General features: G+C 37.0%; 1 protein-coding gene across 4 annotated transcripts in view, besides 1 other annotated feature; it reads left to right on the top strand.

The window, feature by feature from the left end:
- The window catches only part of RPRD1A (regulation of nuclear pre-mRNA domain containing 1A), a 77,736-nt gene that overhangs the window by 22,909 nt on the left and 33,575 nt on the right, over positions 1-21,252 (top strand). For 2 of the 4 annotated variants that reach the window (NM_001303412.2, NM_001303411.2), the window contains exons 2-7: positions 3,786-3,844; positions 10,814-10,943; positions 13,554-13,660; positions 13,746-13,843; positions 17,341-17,467; positions 17,576-17,751. In NM_001303412.2, the coding sequence (NP_001290341.1) occupies positions 3,802-3,844; positions 10,814-10,943; positions 13,554-13,660; positions 13,746-13,843; positions 17,341-17,467; positions 17,576-17,751 (681 nt within the window). In that variant the 5' untranslated portion in view covers positions 3,786-3,801. Of the gene's footprint in view, positions 1-3,785; positions 3,845-10,813; positions 10,944-13,553; positions 13,661-13,745; positions 13,844-17,340; positions 17,468-17,575; positions 17,752-18,972; positions 19,766-21,252 lie in introns of those variants that run through there. The other 2 variants (NM_001303413.2, NM_018170.5) reach the window with 2 other exon arrangements.
- Positions 19,311-19,605: a silencer, noted in NCBI's record as "tiled region #15530; HepG2 Repressive non-DNase unmatched - State 15:Elon". NCBI's record gives its function as "represses a minimal TATA promoter and a strong SV40 promoter by Sharpr-MPRA in HepG2 cells {active_cell/tissue: HepG2}" and the evidence as "EXISTENCE:reporter gene assay evidence [ECO:0000049][PMID:27701403]".

Genomic DNA, 21,252 nt, shown 5'->3' with positions numbered 1-21,252 from the left:
GGTGGTGTCATCTTGGCTCACTGTAACCTCCACCTCCTGGGTTCAAGTGATTCTTGTGCCTCAGCCTCCTGAGTAGCTGGGATTACAGGTGTGCACCACCATGCCTGGCTAATTTTTGTATTTTTAGTAGAGATGGGGTTTCACCATGTTGGCCAGGCTGGTCTCGAACTCATGTCCTCTGGTGATCCACCCGCCTCTGCCTCCCAAAATGCTGGGATTACAGGTGTGAGCTTCTGTGCCCAGCTTTGATCTGCTTTTATTAATGAAATGTTTTTTAGGGACCACAGTGTGGGGCTTGAGAGTGCTGATTGATTTCACTGTAATTTACATTTAATTACAGTTTCCCTTTGAACAATATGGGTTTGAACTGCCCAGGTCCACTTCTATGTGAATTTTTTTCAGTAAAAGTTACATGAGTGTGTCTGCCTTCCTTTCCACCTCCTTCACCCCTTCTGCCTTTGACACTCCTGAGACAGCAAGACCAACCGCTCCTCTTCCCCCTCTTCCTCCTTAGCCTATTCAACATTAAAATGACAAAGAGAAAACCTTTTTGATGAAAACACCTCCACTTAATAATAGATGTTTTCTTTCTATGATTTTCTTAACATTTTCTTTTCTCTAGCTTACTTTAGTGTCAGAATACAGTATATAGTTTATATAACATACAAAATATGTGTTATTTATGTTATCAGTAAAGTTTCTGCTCAGTGATAGTCTGTTAGTAGTTAAGTTTTTTGGGAGTCAGAAGTTATACATGGGTTTTTTACTGCACAGGGCGTTGGACCCCTTTACCCCCAATTGTTGAAGGGTCAACTGTACTTTAATAATTGTTTCATTGGTAAAATGAGGATAACTTACCTTGTAGGGTTGTTTTGAAGGTTAAATGAGATACATAATAAACTTAGAACAGTGCTCAGGTCATAAAAATTGTAGTCAATATTATTTCTTTCAATTTATTTGTAAAACAAAAAAGTTTTAGTCTCAATTTCATTCTAGAAGTGTAATGTGAATAAATGGGTATGGTGTATATTCTTCCATAACTGTTCCAGTTGACAGTGTATTTTATGGTGGTCTAATGGTCCAGGATGAAGTTTATTCTTCTCAGGACTTTTATAATTCATTTGTTGCATATACTGAAATTGAAGGTTTAAAAATTATTTTTTTCACAAAAATTTCTCAGGAATTTGCATTTCCTTTGGCCTTTTAGAATGGAAAAGATGTTCCTTTGCCTGGACCTGGGTGTTCTTTTGTTCTCCTTAACCAAGCATTGATACAGGAGAAGCCATGGATAAATGCACCTACAGGACAAAGTCAGTTGGTGGAGTACCAGGCCAGCACTATGCTGAAGCCTTTTTCAGCATGTAGGCTCAGATTAATCATGTAATATATAATTTGTATGTTTCTCTTTTATAACTTAATTCTTTGTTGGTAACTCCCCTTCTTCCCCCCCCCCCGATTCTTCTTGATCTTTCCCAAAGATATAGTTATTGTTTACTGTGTTTGTGTGTGTGTGTAACTTAATACTATGTCTTTGATATTTTTCCATATCAATACATCAATCGCTTTCATTTTTGAACAGCTGCAGAATATTGTGTAGATTGTATGGATGTGCCATGGTTTATTCAGTTCTTTCTCGATGCTGTCATGAATATCCTTAATGATTTCTTTGTGCATTTATGAGAAATATATCCATATCCATAGGATAAATTCTTAGAAGTAAAATTTGCAAGGTGAAGAAGGTATGTGCATTTATGTTTTCTGATAGATATTGCCAAGTCGTTTTTCTGAGAGGTTGTATTAATTTATGATTTAACCACCAGTGTCTGAAGGTATCTAAATTTGGTCATCTCACCCATACTTTTGTCAATTTTAGTTGGTGTCAGACTTTAGTCTTGGTCACTCTAGTAGGTTGAAAATGGTAGTTGGTTTTAATTCTTTAACATTTGTGTTTCTTTGTACTTCCTGTGCACATGTCTTGACTGTTTTTCTATAGGTTATTGCTTTGTAAGAACTGTAGAGTGAAGGAAGGAAAATGAAAATAGTTGAACTTCAATACATTTAAAAAACGTACGAATGAGTGCTAAGGAAGTTTGTCTTTCATAATCTGAATTAAAAATTGTTGAGGTTTCTGACAGCAGTGTAATTTTACATGTGTTCCCCTCTCTGCTGTGCTGGCTGAGGTTAATGATCAGAAACTAAGTTACTGGAACAAGTAATTAAAGCCACAGGTCTAGGCCAAAATGTATTCAGTAAATGTTGATCAAATTAGGAGCTAGCTGTTGGGTTTGATTCTGGTAGATTTGACAGTCATTGCTCTCAATGGAACTTAGTTTAGTTGTGAAGCACTACATGAAATAAAAATAATTATAGTTAGGGTAGATGTGCCATAGGAATAGTATGGAGTGCTATGAAAGCATCTCAGGGCTGCCTAACCTATGTGGGCTCGTTGGTCAGGGAAAACTGGAGGAACCCATTTAACTGAGGTCTAAAATATGGTAGGAGTTGGGGAACTTGGAGGATAGTGTTGGAAAAGAGTAGTGTAAATGGTGGAGACCTCTTTGTTTAAGGCCTTTGGTTCATATTAAGGATTTTAAAATGCTGTTTGGAAAACAATAGAAAATCTTCAAAGGCTTGTAAGCAAGAATTGACAGGATCCATCCCTACTGTGTAATTTGAAATGTGAACCTGAACTCTCCCAAGGAATAGGCTGCCAAATCTGAGACCTCCTGGCAGTAGTACAGGAGTACATCACCTCTACCCACTTTTCACCCACCTCTGCTGTGGAGAAGCAGCCAGCTGTGTCTGACTGAACTCTTTGTCCTGTCTGGGACAGATAGAATCCATTGAAGAATCATCTCTTGATATGCTTTCTGTGGCAAAGATGTTGACTAACTTAAAGCAGTTTTTGGCTGACAACCACCTATCCATCCATAGGAACACGTCTTCCCCACAATGCCACAGGCGGAAGGAAAAGTCTTGAAGTTGTTAGAATCTATAGGTTTTGGAAACAGGTTCAGAAAAACACTCTCAGGATACAAGTCTGCACAGCACAGACCTTTCATTTTTGCCTCAGAAAATGCTGATTTCCACAAGTGTGTGTTTTTAATTTGTTTGTTGCACTACATTTTAAAAATGAATGCTTAGGTATAAAATTATCTTAGGGTTAAGGAACTGAATTAGATCTATCTCCATGCTTTTCTGAACTAAAAGAAACAGGATTTAGTTGAGAGAGAATCTAGTAAGTTGGAGATAGGCCTGCTGTGGGGAGAGTGATTACTGCAATAGGACTTAAGATAGCATGAGGATACCAAAGAATTCGGAGAAAAGGGTTCTATAAGATGGAAGATAAGTTTAGGGCCTTTTAAAAGCCATACTTAAGAGGAAGTGCTACATAATTAACTCCTTGGTTTCAGGAGAGATACGTGGGGATTATTAATGAAAAATTTTTATGATTTTTAAAAATGTTTATAAATGGAGCCCGTGTAGGTGATAATTGAGAAAACCTGAAGATTATCCAGAAAGTTAGGAACAGGTTCCTTTTGATTAATTGTTCTAGTATATTTGAGACTATGCAGAAAACCTTTCTTCAATTCTCATTTGAATTTCACTCAACTTCAAGAATACTTAATGTAGTAGTATTCTGCATTAAACTCTAATGGGGAATTCTTTTTTTCCACCTGAAATTGAGCAGTGTTTGTAGTTCATTCTGAAAGACAATTACTGTAAAGAACTATTTAATTCTAGAAGGTGTAGTAAATATTTTCTTGTTAATTGCTTCCTTTTAGAGTGGAGGTGCAACAAATGAGAAATTCCAATTGGAGATTTTGTCAAACAGGAATTTACTGTAAGTGAATAAAAACACTTTTCTTCTATGTAAGTACCACTTGCCTAAAAAGCTTAGAAATTTTTAGGGATGATTAGATGTGGGTAAGGAGGTACTGCATAGAAAAATGAAAGGCAAAATTCCTGTGATCACAACTCTAGTTTTGAATTCTTTCTTCTTTCCTTGCCTATTGCAGTATTCTTAGTGTTCAGTGTTACCTACTTCTAGATTTCATGACGTACCTCAGGGTATCCCATTCACCCCTGCTCCCAAATTAAAACTTCAGTACTTCTCTTTTTGTTTATAAAATGAAGCTGAAACACTTGTTAGCTTGGTGTTTAGTTTAAGTCTTCCCTTCTTTGCAACTTTACACTTCATTATTCCCTCATATATAATGTACAGTGCATTCATTAGGTCATGAGGGGAGCTTCTTTCTGCCAAGAATATTCTTTTCACTAATGTTTCATAACACATTTACACATATGGCTTAAGTAGACTTTTATCAACTTGACCGTTGAGTCGTCTTTTATTCCTAGTAGCTAATGCGGTGTCTGTGAATGGTAGATACCAAGTAATTATTTGTTGACTGTATGAGTGGCATGAGATCTTAATCATTTATAATTATCCTTTAGTTAAATGCATTTATAGTTCCACCTAACTCAAACTTTAGGAAGATAATTAAATTACACTTAAAATTTGAGGATTTAATATGTGTATACTATATAAGCAGGATATATAGAATCTTTTTCTAGTCTATAGTCATTCATTTTACCAGGGAAATAAATGAGGATGTCTAGTAATTGTTAATAAATCTTTAATAGATTTTTGTTTCAAAATGACTTTTCTCCTGATTTTCTTGTACAAGACCTGTAGTAATGCTCATTCCTCCCATTGATATGTATGTGTATGTATATGTACATGTGCATATATTTCTGTTTGTGTGTGTGTATATGTGCATGTGTGCATGCGTGTGTGTGTGTTTCCTTATTCAATTTCCTGCTGCTGCTTTCCATGTAGAAGGTTTCCCTCGGAATGATGGTTCTTATGTTTATAGATAACAGGATTTTAGCTGTTTATTGTATTTATCAGCATTGCCATCTACTGTAGTTTTAAATTCAGTCTTCATAAACCATGGATGATTAATTTAGATTATGATATTTTGCAGCATATAAAAATGAGTATACATATGGTATGTACAATGTAAGAAAATAGGTAACATTTCTCCTACCACTTTCTACCATTATGAACAACTAAAACTATGAACTGATTATGAAGTAGTGGAACTAGAGATGACATTTTAATCCTTTCACTGAGTAAGTCTGTTTCATATTGTTTAATAGTCTGGACTCTGATTTCTTTTTGAAGCTTGTTAATTGATCTTTTAGATGAATTGTTTGTGGTAGGTTATATAACTGTCTCCTGGTTATATGATGAACTGAACATTTATTACCATGCCCCTTCTGGGGGATGTGCTCAACTTTTTAGGTAATTGTATTAGTCTCCTCTCACATTGCTATAAAGAACTGAGACTGGGTAATTTTTGAAGAAAAGAAATTTAATTGACTCACAGTTCTGCATTGCTGGGGAGGCCTCAGGAAACTTACAGTCATGGCACCCACCAGGCCCCTCCCCTGACATGTGGAGATTATAATTTGACATGAGATTTGGGTGGGGACACAGCCAAACCATATCATTCCACCCCGGCCCCTCCCAAATCTCATGTCCTTCTTACATTTCAAAACCAATCATGCTTTCCCAGTAGTCCTCCAGAGTCTTAACTCATTCTAGCATTAACTCAAAAGTCCAAGCCCAAAGTCTCACCTGAGATAAGGCAAGTCCCTCCCACCTATGAGCCTGTAAAATAAAAAACAAATTAGTTACTTCCAAGATACAACGGGGGTATCATAGGTATTTGGTAAATGCTCCTGTTCCAGAAGGGAGAAATTGGCCAAAACAAGAGGGGTATAGGCCCCATGCAAGTCCGAAACCCAGCAGGGCAGCCATTAAACCTTAAAGCTCCAAAATCACCTTTGACTCCCTGTCTCACATCCAGGGCACACTGATGCAAGGGGTGGGCTCCCACTGCCTTGGGCAGCTCCTTCATGGGATGATGTTGACTGCCTGTAACTTTTCCAGGCACGAATGCAAGTTGTCTGTGGATCTACCATTCTGAGGTCTGGAGGACAGTGGCCCTCTTCTTGAACTCCACTAGGCAGTGCCTCGTGGGGACCCCATGTGAGAGCTCCAATCCCACATTTCCCCTACGCACTGCCCCAGCAGAGATTCTCCATGAGGGCTCTGCCTCTGCAACAGACTTTTGCCTGGACATCCAGGTGTTTCCATATATCCTCTGAAATCTGGGTGGAGGTTCCCAAACCTTAAGTATTGCCTTCTGTGCATCCACAGGCCCACAATCACATGGAAGCCGCCAAGGCTTGGGGCTTGCACCCTCTGAAGCAATGGCCCAAGCTGTGCCCTGGCCCCTTTTAGCCATGGCTAGAGCTGGAGCAGCTGGGAGGTAGGGCACCAAATCCTGAGATTGCACAAAGCAACAAGGCCCTGGGCCTGGCTCAGGAAACCATTTTTTCCTCCTCGGCCTCTGGGCCTGTGATGGGAGAGGCTGCCATGAAGGTCTCTGACATGCCCTGGAGACGTTTTCCCCATTGTCTTGAGGATGAACATTTGGCCCCTTGTTACTTGCAAATTTCTGCAGCCCACCTGAATTTCTCTTCAGAAAATGGGTTTTCTTTTCTGTTGTATCCTCAGGCTGCAAATTTTTCGAACTTTTATGTTCCATTTCTCTTTTAAACATAAGTTCCAATTCCAAACCGTATCTTTGTGAATGCCTGGAACTGAATGCTTTTAAGAGGGCCCAAGTCACTTTAATGCTTTGCTGGCTAGAAATTTCTTCCACCAGATACCCTAAATCATCTCTTTTAACCTCAAAGTTCCACAGATCTCTAGGGCAGGGGCAAAATGCTGCCCGTCTTGTTGCTAAAGCATAGTGAGAGTCACCTTTATTCCAGTTTCCAACAGGTTCCTCATCTCCATCTGAGACCACTTCAGCCTGGACTTCATTGTCTACTTCACTATCAGCATTTTGGTCAAAGCCATTCAACAAGTCTCTAGGGAGTTCCAAACTTTCCCACATCTTTCTGTTTTCTTCAGAGCCCTCCAAACTGTTCCAACCTCTGCCTGTTACCCAGTTCCAAAGTGGCTTCCACATTTTCAGGTATCTTTACAGCAGTGCCCCACTACTTGGTACCAATTTACTGTATTAGTCTGTTCTCATGCTGTTACGAAGAAATACCTGAAACTGGGTAATTTATAAAGGAAAGAGATTTAATTGACTCACAGTTCTTCAGGGCTGGGGAGACCTCAGGAAACTTACAATCATGACAGAAGAGGAAGCAAACACGTCCTTATTCACATGGTGGCAGGAAGAAGTACAGAGTGAAGTGGGGGAAAGCTCTTTATGAAACCATCAGATCTCATGAGAACTCACTTACTAACATGAGAAAAACATGGAGGTAGCTGCCCCCATGATCAGTTATCTCCCACCTGGTTCCTCCTATGACATGGGATTATGGGAACCACAATTCAAGATTTGGGTGGGGACACAGCCAAACTGTATCACAAGTATATGTTATTTATGATTGTTTCTGTGTTGGTGTGATATATTCATGGGGAGAAGAAATAAGGAAAAAAAAAGTAACATTTTAGTGATGTGACCTATCATCTGCCAATTTGTATGGAACTTGCAAACTCCTGATTGAACAGGAAACGTTAATTTTAGTCTGTACTTAGCGTGGTCCCTGGTACATGGCAAACATTAAAATAATAAATGCTATTTAAATTGAATGGACGGTTTGGAAAACCGGTGTTTTTGGAAAGAACCCCATGAGCAACAGAAACATAGGAATTAACTAAGTCAGACCTGTCACTTAGTCTTACATTCTTTGTTGCCAACAGTGGCATTTCTTTGTGGAATTATGACATGGTTTGTTTTCCCTTTCTGTTAACTGTTTCTCTTTTAATAACAATTTATGGCTCTGTTATTTTTAAAAATATCAAAATTCATTTGGAAATTTTTTGTGTGATTTTCTTGGATTGCTTGCTGTGATTACCGCCATTAATTATTTGCTGTATGTATAGGGACACATAATTTTAAATGGAAGTAAATTTCTTTCCCTGAAAATTTAGGGAAGGGCATAAGTTGTGATGATTGCTGGGTATTTTTCATATTTTTGCTTGGTCCTACAAAGATAAAAGTGAAAATAGTATCTTGGTATTTGGACCCCATGCTCAATCACCTCATATGGAATTTGTCCTTTGGAAAACACTGGTAAATATATTTTTAAATCTTGTAAATTTTTATTTTAGTGTATATTGTAAAAGCAATTCTGAATTCTTTGAGAGATTGATATAACCCATGAATTTAAAAAACATTCTAGGGCCAGGCACAGTGGCTCACACCAGTAATCCCAGCACTTTGGGAGGCCTAGGTGGGAGGGTCACTTGAGCTCAGGAGTTCAAGACCAGCCTGGGCAACAAAGTAAGACCTTATCTCTACAAAAAATTTAAAAAATTAGCCAGGCATGGTGGCGTGTGCCTGTGGTTCCAGCTACTTGGAAGCTGAGGCAGGAGGATTGCTAGAGCCCAGGAGGTCGAGGCTGCAGTGAGCCTTTAGTCTGGGAGACAGAACTTGTCTCAAACAAAAAAAACAAAAACATTTTTTTTGTTTTTGTGGTAATAAATATTATTTACCATCTTCATTTTTTCCGTGTACAGTCCAGTAGTGTTAAGTACATTGTTGTGTAGCCAGTTTCCAGAACTGTTCATTTTGCAAAACTGAGACTCTGTACCCATGAATAATTTCCTATTCTCCTCCCATTCCCACAGCCTTTGGCAACTATCCTTCTACTCTTTTTTTCTATGAATTTGAGTACCTCCAATAAGTAGAATCATACAGTGGTTTGTCTTTTTTCATGACTCGATTATTTCACCTGGCATGATGTCCTGGAGATTCATCCATGTTGTAACATGCGTCAACATTTCCTTCTTCTATAAGGCTGAATAATACTTTATTGAATATATAATTCACATTTTGTTTATTCATTGATCAGTGGGTTAGGTTGCTCTTAACTCTTGGCTATTGTGAATAATGCTGCTAACATTGTAAAATATTTTTATTTCAGTTGCTACTTTTTGTTTTGCATTGTTTTATCTTTTTCTTCTTTTCAGTTGCTACTTTTGAGTCTCAAAGATTAACATGCCCTTTTAATTATGACAGGAAGCATGGTCTAGTTGTTAAGAGGGATTTGCTTGGCTGTTGGACTTTTTGGATTCCAATCCTGGCTTATCTCTTCCTCATTATTTCCCTGAGGGCAAATAATGTTTTTGGCTTTGTTTGTTCAGCTGCCAAATAGAGACATATTGTTAGGATTGAGATAATGTATGTAAAGTGCTTGGAATAGTGTGTAGCACATAGTAAAAGTGCAGTGAAAGGATTGTTTGTTCAGGTACCCATTCAAAAGTGATGCAGGCAATCTCCCAATTAGATAATACAAATTTGAGTTTCTAAACTCATTTGACACTGGGAAGGCAAAAATCTGGATTGAACAATACCAATCTATTTTGTGGGTGGGATTGAGAGGGCAAGGATGGGTACAAAAGAGACAGGACTGAATGTTAGGATAGGGTCCCGATATCTTAACCAGTTGTACACTGTGGTTTATCTAACCAGACAAGGAGCCTGAAAACCAGAAGCTGGTCTCTGTTATAGCCATCTCTTCTTATTTTTATTCCATGCCAGCAACTTGCAAAATCATGAAAAGTGGTAGACAGCAATTTAAACAGACAAACCAGGTTATACAGTGGCATGGCACAGGTTTGTAAAGTTTGATCAGTTGTGACTTAGTATATGAGAAGGTTGGGCTTCTGGTTGCTCCTCGAGAATGATGTGAACTCAGAGGTGACTTTTTAATATGTCAAATGCTTAAATTTGTAAATTGAATACTTAACATCTAGAGGACCACATGTAGCCTGATCAAGATTTTTGTCTTAAATCCAATAAGATAGCCCACATCAATAGGATACTGCATAATTGGTCCTGACCATAAGTTTCCTACACCACTGTACTATGGATGCCACAAGGTATGATGCTTCTGAATATAACTGTACTACATTGAGTGATTCAAATTTAATTCTAGTAAAATATAAGAATAGTATAAAATATTATGTTCAACACTGTTTTCCTTATGTATAATCTTATTTGAGTCATATTCAGTAGTAGTATGCTATTTAACATTGTAACCAGTAAAAATGTACTGTGGCCCACAACTGTTGAAATCTTGTCTATTTCCTTAGAGAAATGACTACACCCACAGAGCATAGTGAGTAGGGGAATATTTTTGTCATAATGAATTCAGTTTAAAATTTATGGCCATGTAATCTAAAGACAGAAACATCTAAACTTTTCCCATTTACTCTCCCTAGCAGTTAATCTATTAGCTTGGCAAATATTTATTGCATAAACAAAAAATAGTAATTGATTGAAGGGACATCTCTTTCAACCTGTTTTACATTTCATGCTCTTCTGTTGTTTCACAATAGCTTAATAATGATTTCGAATTAACATGTCTATTAAAACAATCCTAAATTCAATGTAGGATTTAGGGTGCCATCTTAATAACATGAGCAATCACCATCTTATTTTAAATGACTATATTTCATATAGTTTGTAATGGTTTTACTAAAATTTAATACAGGATAGAGTCACCGAGATGCATTTTTACATAGACATTAGTTCTGGCGATTTTAGCAGCAGTGACTGGTTAGTTTGGTAGTAAAATGAGAGACTAGGGTTGAAATGATACATAAAGGTTAGTAGGGTTATTTTAGTTCTCAAAATGCTTAATTTAGGTATTGAGAAAGTTTGTCCAAGTAAAGATGTTTTAAGTAGATTTTTAACTTTTTCTTATTTTTCAGCCAAACCAAACAGGAAGCTTACTTTTCTCTACCTAGCCAATGATGTCATACAGAACAGCAAGAGGAAGGGGCCAGAGTTTACAAAAGATTTTGCACCAGTTATAGTGGAGGCTTTTAAGCATGTTTCAAGGTATGATCATAGTTTTGGGTATTAGGTAATCTGTTTTAAATGTACCATATGTCCTTTTGCTAAAATTTGCCTTAAACTATTAAAATAAAAAGTAGGGAATATAGTTTTTTGATGCTTTTATTTGAAAAGACTTCCCTCTACATGGCATTTATAAATGTATTAAATGCCTTCTCTGAAGGAAAAATATTTTTTGAACTGTTGCTAAGGTGGGCCTTTGGAGTACTTGAATTACAGCTTTCCTTTAAGAGACCAGAACCAACTGCTATATTGGAATGAACTTCATTAAAAATGAATGAAGGTATTGAAGTAAAAATTTGTGTGTTTATAAAGCTATCAGTCTTGTAACAAATATTTCCATATACACTTAGTACTGTTTCTATTCTTTTTTTTTTTTTTTTTTTTTTTTTTGAGACAGAGTCTCACTCTCACCCAGGCTGGAGTACAGTGGTGCGATCTTGGCTCACTGCAACCTCTGCCGCTTGGGTTCAAGCGATTCTCCTACTTCAGCCTCGCAAGTAGCTGGAATTACAGGTGCCTGCCACCATGCCTGGCTAATTTTTGTGTTTTTAGTAGAGACAAGGTTTCACCATCTTGGCCAGGCTGGTCTTGAACTCCTGACCTCGTGATCCACCTGCCTCGGCCTCCCAAAGTGCTGGGATTACAAACGTGAGCCACCATGTCTGGCCTGTTTCCATTCTTTACTTGCCCTCTGGGTAATTTTGTACATCGCATGTATTTGGTTATTCTCCACACCGTAATGACTTACAGTTTTATGCTCCAGTCCAGATTTTTTTTTGTTCCAAACCTGTGTGCCCAATTGCCTTTTGACATTTTTACTTGTATGCGTCTCAAACATTTCAGACTCACTGTGTCTGATACAGAACTCATTATGTCCTTGCTTCCCACCGTACTTGTCCCTCCTGTAGGTTTTATACTCTGTGAATGGCAACTCGATCTATCCAGGTGCCTATGCAAGAAATTATGTTACCTTTAAACTCTTCTTTCTCCTTCAGTCCCCATATCTCACATAGTACACATTGACTCGGTTCTTTGGATTTCTTTCCCTTTTAGTTACCATAATGTATTTTCAGTATAATTTTAATGCCCTTTAGTATTGTTTAATTTCTTTAGAAAACTCGACAGAGTTGCAGAGCTGGTCATAATACTTCCTTGCCTTTGAGTGGTTCCCATTTGTTTTAGAGATGAAGTCTAAAGTCCTGAGCAAGACTTAAGGTGTTCCTTCGTGGCACTGCCTATCTCCCCAGACCTCTGTCTCGCATTTATTCCACACAGTCTATAGTCTACAGTTTAAGCTAAATTAACCTTTTTTAGTTCTTTCCGCCTTAAGTCTTCTATATATGTTGCCCCTCCCTAGAATTCAGTAAAATATTTATTGGCTGCATAAATATTTATTATATGCAAAACCCTGAGTAGTAGTGACCAAGACAGTTTTGTTCTACTGGAGCCTACATTTCATTGGATGACAAAGTTAATAAGTAGATAGACAAGTGAATGCATAATGTCAGATGACAAATGCTAGCAAGAAATACAAAGCAGGGAAGGAACTAGATAGTATGAGGGCGCTCAGTTATGTGATGAGATAAAGAACAACTATTTGGGGAAGGTGGCATTTGAACAAAGACTAAAGGAAGGGGTGAAATGAGCCATTTGACTAGGCAGAAAGGATTCTAGGTAGAGAGAATATGTGGCCGAAAAAATGAGATAGCTTATATGCTGGACATGTTTGAGGACCTTAGCAAGGAGATTTGTATGGTACTAGGTATTAGGGAGTGTGTACTGAGGGACTGCCAGAAAGCAGAGCATGTGGGCCTTATGGCCCAGAGTAAGGATTTTGGTTTTATTCTTGATGTGATTGGTAGCTCTTGGAGGATCAAGAGCTGTATAATCTGATTTACATTATTAGGATGCTTTGTACAGAATAGAGTAAAAGAGTAGAGGCTGGGAGAGCGTGAGAAGACTTTACAAAATTCTAAGCAAGAGATAGTAGTGTTTCTGTCTACAGTGATAGCAATGAAGGAGGTAGGAAACAGTTGGGAGTAGTCTGTTTTTCATTTCCCCATATGTCTAGTCTTAAGATCTCAAATTAAATATCATTTCCTTAAATACTCTTCCGGATATCTCTTAAACAGGGCCAGGTCTGTCTTAAGCACTTTGTTCTCTTTTGTGATACTTATAAATAACAACTGCCATAAGCTGCATTTGCATCTCCATGTCAAAGATAGTAACTGGATCAATAAGTATTTGTTGAATAAATTTAAAAAAATAACCTATGAGAAATCTTCCTTAGCCCCATGTCCAGGCCCCATTAGGATAGGAAATCCCTAGCAGCCAGTACTAAAACTTTTACAGTTTAAACTTTTTTTGGTTGTGTAATAATATGTTTATAAAATGTTTACTAGAAGCAAGCAGTGTGTCTAGATCACTTCACTTTTGAGCTGCTGGCCACATAGTGATGCTAAGTAGACATTTGGACAGTTTTTTCCAGGGAATGAATGTCTGATTATATTTAAAGTTACCGTTAACCTTTTCAATAACACTATGCATTGTTACTGTTAACATTTTTCTTTTTTTCTTTTTTTTTTTTTTTAGTGAAACTGATGAAAGTTGTAAGAAGCACCTTGGAAGAGTGTTATCTATTTGGGAAGAAAGGTCTGTTTATGAAAATGATGTATTAGAACAACTTAAACAAGCTCTGTGTAAGTGTAGAATCCTGATCTCTTACCTTGATCTCTTCATTAAAATGTATTCTTTCATTAATACTTAAATGTTCTTTCATTTCAGATGGTGATAAGAAGCCTAGGAAGCGAACTTATGAACAGATAAAGGTGGATGAAAATGAAAACTGTTCCTCTCTGGGATCTCCAAGTGAACCACCACAGGTAGAAATTTTACCCTGTTAAAAGAGTTACAAACTTTTACTTCATGTTGCCACCAAGCTTTATTAATTTCGTTTCACTTCTGTAAATTGATTTCTATTATACTTTTAGGTACAAGAAAGAAGCCACATGAATATCTCTTCCTCATTAACAAATTGCTTATGTTAAATGTAGTATGTTGTATATTGTATATTTTGCATAGAAATCATGTTTTGTATAGAAAGAGGATTTTTAATTGCCAAATATGGTTAGATGTGAGATGTTAGCTATTTAAACTTTTTAAAATAAAACAAAACATGCCTATTTTGTTATGTGATTTTTTTTTTTTGAGACGGAGTTTCACTCTGTCCCCAGGGCTGGAGTTCAGTGGCACTATCTTGGCTCACTGCAACCTCTGCCTCCTGGGTTCAAGCGATTCTCCTGCCTTAGCCTTCCAAATAGCTGAGACTACAGGCACGGGCCACCAAGCCCAGCTAATTTTTGTGTTTAATAGAGATGGGGTTTCACCATGTTGGCCAGGCTGGTCTTGAACTCCTGGCCTCAAGTGATCCTCCCACCTTGGCCTCCCAAAGTGCTGGGATTATAGGCATGAGCCACTGTGCCCGGCTCATGTATGATTTAAATACACTAAAATTTTCATTCTTGGACATAATCACTGCCCCTTTAAGTATTTTTGTTTTTAAATGTAAAAAGTAGTGTTAGAGTGGCCGGGCGCAGTGGCTCACGCCTGTAATCCCAGCACTTTGGGAGGCCAAGGTGGTCGGATCATGAGGTCAGGAGATCGAGACCATCCTGGCTAATATGGTGAAACCCCGTCTCTACTAAAAAATACAAAAAATTAGCTGGGCGTGGTGGCGGGCGCCTGTAGTCCCAGCTACTCGGGAGGCTGAGGCAGGAGAATGGCGTGAACCTGGGAGGCGGAGCTTGCAGTGAACCGAGATAGCACCACTGCACTCCATCCTGGGTGACAGAGCGAGACTCCGTCTCAAAAAAAAAAAAAGTAGTGTTAGAGTGATATATATGTGTTCATACATTTCTTTGTAACTATATAGAACTATGTAATTCTGTGGAAAAATAAGTTAGAATTATTATCTTAACACTCTGTGTCCTCCTACATGTTGGTATGGTATGGTATTCCTTAACCATCAGATTAATTCCAGAAAGACTTTTTTTTTTTTTTTTTTTTAAGTGGGCATTGAGTCTTTAAGCTTCCTCCTTCTATGTTTCAAACATGTAGGCGGGACAGATAAAGTGTAAAATGAGAAAATGAAGACATAACCATACTCTTAAAACAAGGCGAATGTATTTTCATGGGTTAGAAATTGTACACCTAACTTCATAGGTGAGACAAAACCTGGCTCCTGCTGAGCCCTGGTCCCGAAGCAGACATGGGGTTGCCAGAAATTAGTATCCTTTAAGGTCACAGGAACTCACAAGGGCAACAGGAACTCACAGTGCTCCGTGGGAGTTAGAGGACTGGTTCCAAATTCACTGAATAAAATCAGAGGCTGGGAGGAGCTCTTTCCCCCATGAAGGTGAAAGAAAAATACAATCAATTACTACCTGTAACTGTGGATTTATATTAGTCTCAGTACTGGAGAAGCAGAAGGAATCAGACCAAGGCCACGACCTGAGTCAGCCTACCTGTTTGTTCAGTGATAGGAATGCTGAAGCCCATTGGCCACTATGGACAAGAGCTTGAATAGAAAAGTGATAAGAATGTTACATTTGGAACAACCAAACACTAAGATTTATGTCTCTTCCTATTTGGTAATAACTCATGACAGAAAATCATTTTTGGCTAAGAGCCTCATGATTCTATGAACAGTGTTTTACCTAAGTTCTAGATAAAGGATCTGGTCTCCTTCCGCTCTCCCTGATGAAAGGGTAACCACAGTTGCATATCTTAGGAGTATTTTTAAGTAATCATCTGCCTCTCCTCTAGTACTTGTGTAAAATGCTGTTGCTCTTTGTTTTATAATGATCGTTTTTTAGATTAGTTGTGCTGCTTAATTATCAATGGTTCAGCTTTGTGGTCTTCATTTTTGTGTGTGTGTTATTCTTTATAAGAATGGCTAAAATCTCTTTGTAGGTTCCCGTTAAACTCATTTCATTCTCCTCTGGTAGGAAGTAGTAGGCTTAGTATTGTTTCAGACAACTTTGCTTTCTTATCTGATGCTTGATCAGGCATTGGGAACTTAGAATGTACTCATGTAGGACTGTGAAGGTGTGATGAGATCAGGTTGTAATTAAAGCATCAATGCATTGCCAAGACAATAAAGCCAGATTTCTTCTTAGAACTCCAGACAATTAGAATTTTCTAAGAATGATTTTAAAAATAATATATTAGTTGTGGCAAGATGAGAAACAAGCTTTCTGGTAATTGTTGTTACTCTTAAGCACACCTTAATTGTAGAGGGGATATATCTTACAACAAAATTATTTTTTAAAATACTGAAATTTTAAACACTTCTAATGAGTGAGCACACGTAGGATAGTATATTTCTTATTAGTTTCATTCATTCCTACCACATTTGATCATTTGTCATGTGCTACCCTTTTTTTCAAGGGAATAGTTTAAAAATCTTAATATATACACAGAATTACTAATATCCTATATTTTTTAAAGCATATGTGTAATTTCCTAGTGTTTCTGAATCTAGTATTAGAAATTAAGAAAGAAAGATGAAAAAGATGGGCTGGAGAATGGAAACTAGTAAAAATAAAATTTAATTGTTTTTCTTTGGAATAACTTTATAGACATTATGAGTTGTGAAATCACCAGCAAAGAGTTGCGCTTCCCTCCTAATTATAGCTTGTATGAAAACAGTGGAAGTAAAATATTTTAATGATAAAATAATTTCAGTACTGGTTAAGCAATATATATTAGTCATCAGATTATGGAATTTTGAAATATTTTAATCTTATTAACAAGCCATAGGATACTTGAAGATATCATATTTGAACATATTCTAGAACTACATTTCTCTTGGGCTTTAATTACAGCATTTAGAAATGAAATCTGGGAGACTCTTCTGTGTTGTAGTAGATGATTTGTAACCCTCTTTCCATAATATCCAATTTAATACTAAAAAAACTTCTAGTGTACAATGATAATGTAATGAATATATCATACATAAAACTTGTATTCTCTAGGTTGATGTTATAGCCTACCTTCTCTTTCACCACTGATGTATTTGCCATATAAATCCTCATTACCTCATTTTAGTACTCAAATAATTATTATTACTCTGTCTCCACCACTGGAGTAAGCTCTCTTCAAGGTCTAGGGCCTTGTCCTGTTTATATTTTCAACACCTAACATAGTATAGCCTCCTTTTTTCTTAACATATGAAAGAAATTGATTGTCTTCAAAAGCAGTTTATATTAGGAGCTTTGTACTAGTAAATAGCCCATAGGGATGAAAGAATATGAAATTAAAGTCTTTTGCACTTGTTTAAGCTCAATTTATTTTGGTTCTGAAGTTGTGTACTTTTTAGACTCTAGATCTCGTTAGAGCATTACAAGATCTGGAAAATGCAGCCTCAGGTGATGCAGCAGTTCATCAGAGGATAGCTTCTTTACCTGTTGAAGTCCAAGAAGTATCTCTATTAGATAAAATAACAGGTAAGAAAAGAAAATGTGATCCAGAACTTTTTTGGGAGTTGGGATGAGAGAACAGCATATGTCATTGTTTTTGTTGTATAATATTTTATTATCCCGTGCTTTTCTTAGATAAAGAATCTGGAGAAAGGCTTTCCAAAATGGTAGAGGATGCGTGTATGTTGCTGGCAGATTACAATGGCAGATTGGCGGCAGAAATAGATGATAGAAAGCAACTCACTCGAATGTTAGCAGATTTTCTTCGTTGTCAAAAGGAAGCCCTTGCAGAGAAAGAGCATAAATTGGAAGTGCGTAACCTTTTTCTTCTTTAGTGCTTATTTATTTAATTCTCTTTTTGTTAGGAATTTTAAAATATTTTAATCTATGTGCACATTTTGCATTTTTTAACATAGACCTTTTTAAGCAGTAGCCCAGGTAAGCTTCTCCTTGTATTAATGGTTTTTCTTCTACTTGAACCAAATTAATCTTGCAAGTAAACTTAGAAATTTGGAATTAGCAAAATTGATTGCATTTAAAAATTATTCTTGTGAAATTCCATGCAACTATAATTTATCTTACCAGTTTAACCCTAATGTATCACAGAAATAATAGGAAAATAGCAGGTGGCAGTCACTTGTAGTAGGATTTATTTAGTTTCTGTTTTGAGAAGATGTAGTCTTTTAGGTATACCATTAAGTCTTTAAATTACTCCCTTAATTCCACCCGCCAATTCTAATGCTTACATGTTCCAGCCCCACTCCCGGCTCACACTCTTAGGCAGAAATTCATTGCTCCTGTAAATTAAGTAATAATTAATACCGCTAATGAGAAATCTGGGAGTACAGGAGGTGATTTTAAAAAATGCTCGTATTTCCTTTGATTAGAGTAGCAATTGTTAGGGATACATGAGCCAGATTTGGTTTTATGTAAAAAAAATCTTTCAGTTGATGAGTTCTTGTTTAAATTGTATTGCTGTGGCAATTTCTTATTGTAATAATATGTAGGAGAATTTCTAATTTGAATCCCTTTATTTACAGAAAGCTCACTGTAAATTTGTAGGAATGTCATGGTACTACCCCATTAAGTTATTTTTATTAGTGTTTAGTTATTGATTCAGCAGTCTCTAATTGTGCCAAAAATGGTGCTTAGATTAGATTGCCATTGCTACCCATGGGAGCTGCTACTTAATTATTCCCACCTCAAATTCCCAGCTCTCAAGTTAGCACTACTCCTTTGCAATTTACTCCTTCTCTGCTCGTATAAATACCCTCAGATGATGATAGTTGGTGGCCACTATACCTTTGAAGAGGTTGCCCACTTCTACATGGAAAGGAAAAGATGGTTTTTTTTTTTAAAAGATGAATTTGATAATTAACTTGCCACTATTTCACCTTGTGATGAAACCTCAATTTTAAACATAGTGTTAATTGTTTTATTGTCCACAGAATTAAGGGTAAGTAATGTCATACAATTTTTGTCTTTAGTCTTTTAGTATGGTTTCTTTAACTTCTATTGAGCTTCTGTTGCAGATATTGGACATGGGCGTATCTTCTAACGATGTCGTCACCATTAGTATATTCTTCCTGCTAAAAATAAATATCAAACCCTGAAGCCTGTATTGTCTCATGTTTTTGAAAATTGAAGAGAAGACTGTAACTTTATTCTGCTTTATACTTTCTCACTTATGATGATGGTCATTTGTCACTGTTTACAAAAACAGAATTTATATTTGAAGTGTAACTGTAGAAAATAGATCAGATGCCACTCCCCACAACCCCCTTTTCCCCCAGTGCCTTCCAGCCACATTTCATAGTTGACAGTCATAGATTATGAGGCTGATGATAATAATAATGTTAACATTCATGTGTCAGGTACTATTCTAGGCACTTCACATAAGCAACTCATTTAATCTTACACAGCAGGATGTATTATCCACATTTGATAGATACAGAACTGAGGCACAGGAAGATTAAGTAACTTGCCTAAGGTCACAAAGAGCTAGTGAGTTGTTTGGAACGCAGAGAATCTGCCTCCAGAGCCAGTGCACTTCATCAAAAAGACACATTGCTTCCTGTTTTTACTTAAATCTAAGATTAAAGCAAATGCTAAAGTCCTATTTTTTCCAACTTTTTCTGCTCCCTCTCTTCTCAGAGGTAATCACTGTCTTGAAATAAAGCCTTCTAGGAACTTTTTTTGTTGTTCTTCTGCATAACTGGATTTTATATTATAAAGAAGAAATCACCTCAATTATGTTCAGCTGTTTTTTAACAAGTAAATACTCTTTACAAGTACAGAAATAAACTTGAAAGTTATTCCACAGAACTCTTTGTAAATTATCACTTAGAACTATGTTATTCCTTTGTAGAAGATGTGGAAATGATTTGAGATATTTAGACTTTTTTGTACCAAGTAGGTGGCATCACTTTGAAGTTGAGACTGAGAGGTGAAGATTTATGTTTTCTGAATCAGCTGTGATACTATCAAGTAATTTTCATCTATTGTGTATCTTTGAACATTAACAGTGGTTGACCAGATACTGATGTGTCATTTGTTGCTGCATTTTTGATAATGGAACATAAATTTAAAGTATCAGTTCGGGAATTGGCCATTTCATATTTCTTAAGGAAGCCATTATTAAAGCATGTGTAATGAATGAAAACATGAAGTGGTTTAAAATTTGTGTTTTAAGACAATCATTATTTTTGAAACTTCTGACTATAGTTGGTTACTAAGCAGAAGCAGATAACTGTTGGGCCGGGTGTGGTGGTTCACGCCTGTAATCTCAGCACTTTGGGAAGCTGAGCTGGGTGAATCACTTGAGGTCAGGAGTTCAAGACCAGCCTGGCTGACATGGTGAAACCCCATCTCTACTTAAAAAAAAAAAAAAAAAAAAATTAACCAGGTGTGGTGGTGGGTGCCTGTAGTCCCAGCTACTTGGGAGGCTGAGGCAGCAGGATCACTTGAACCTGGGAGGTGGAGGTTGCAGTGAGCTGAGATCACACCACTGCCCTCCAGACTGGGCGACAGACCGAGACTCCATCACGCGCGTGCGCGTGCACACACACACACGAGATAACTGTTAAAATAGACTATTAATAACTTTAGTTTACATTTATAATATTTAGGGATTGCTATAGGAATCATTTTACCATTATGAAGTTGAAAGTATTGCATAAACTGTTTTTCAGTTAGCTTATTATCTTGGAAGGCATACATGAATAGGAGAATTAAAATGACATTTTGACTTTGACATTGTTTCCTAGTACATACAAAAGTTATGTTTACAACTTTACTGTTGTCTAAGTATTACAATTACACTTTACTGTTGTCTAAGCATTAGGATTACATATAAAATTACATATAAAAAATGTACGTATCTTAGTTAAAAATGCTTCATTGCTAAAAAAGACTAATCATCTGAGCCTTCTGTTAGTCATAGTCTTTGCTGGTGGAGGGTCTTGCCTTGATATTGATGGCTGTTGACTGATTAGGGTGGTGATTGCTGAAGGATGTGGCTATGGCAGTTTATTAACACAGTGATAAAGTTTGCTGCATCAGTTGACTTCTTTCTTGAAAGATTTCTCTGTAGGATGCAGTACATTTGATAGCATTTTGCCTACAGCAGAACTGCTTTCAAAATTAGAAGCAATTTTCTCAAGCCCTGCTACTGCTTTATCAAGTAAATCCTTTGTTGTCATTTCATCTCCACTGGGAGTAGATTCCATCTCAGGAAACCACTTTATTTGCCCATCCATAAGAAGCAACTCCTCACCAACAAGTTTTATGAGATTGGAGCAGTTCAGTCACAT

Source organism: Homo sapiens, chromosome 18 (genome assembly GCF_000001405.40).
Source record: "Homo sapiens chromosome 18, GRCh38.p14 Primary Assembly".
NCBI lineage: Eukaryota > Metazoa > Chordata > Mammalia > Primates > Hominidae > Homo > Homo sapiens.
The sequence above is the reverse complement of the archived record's forward strand: the minus strand, read 5'-3'. Positions and strand labels throughout refer to the sequence as shown.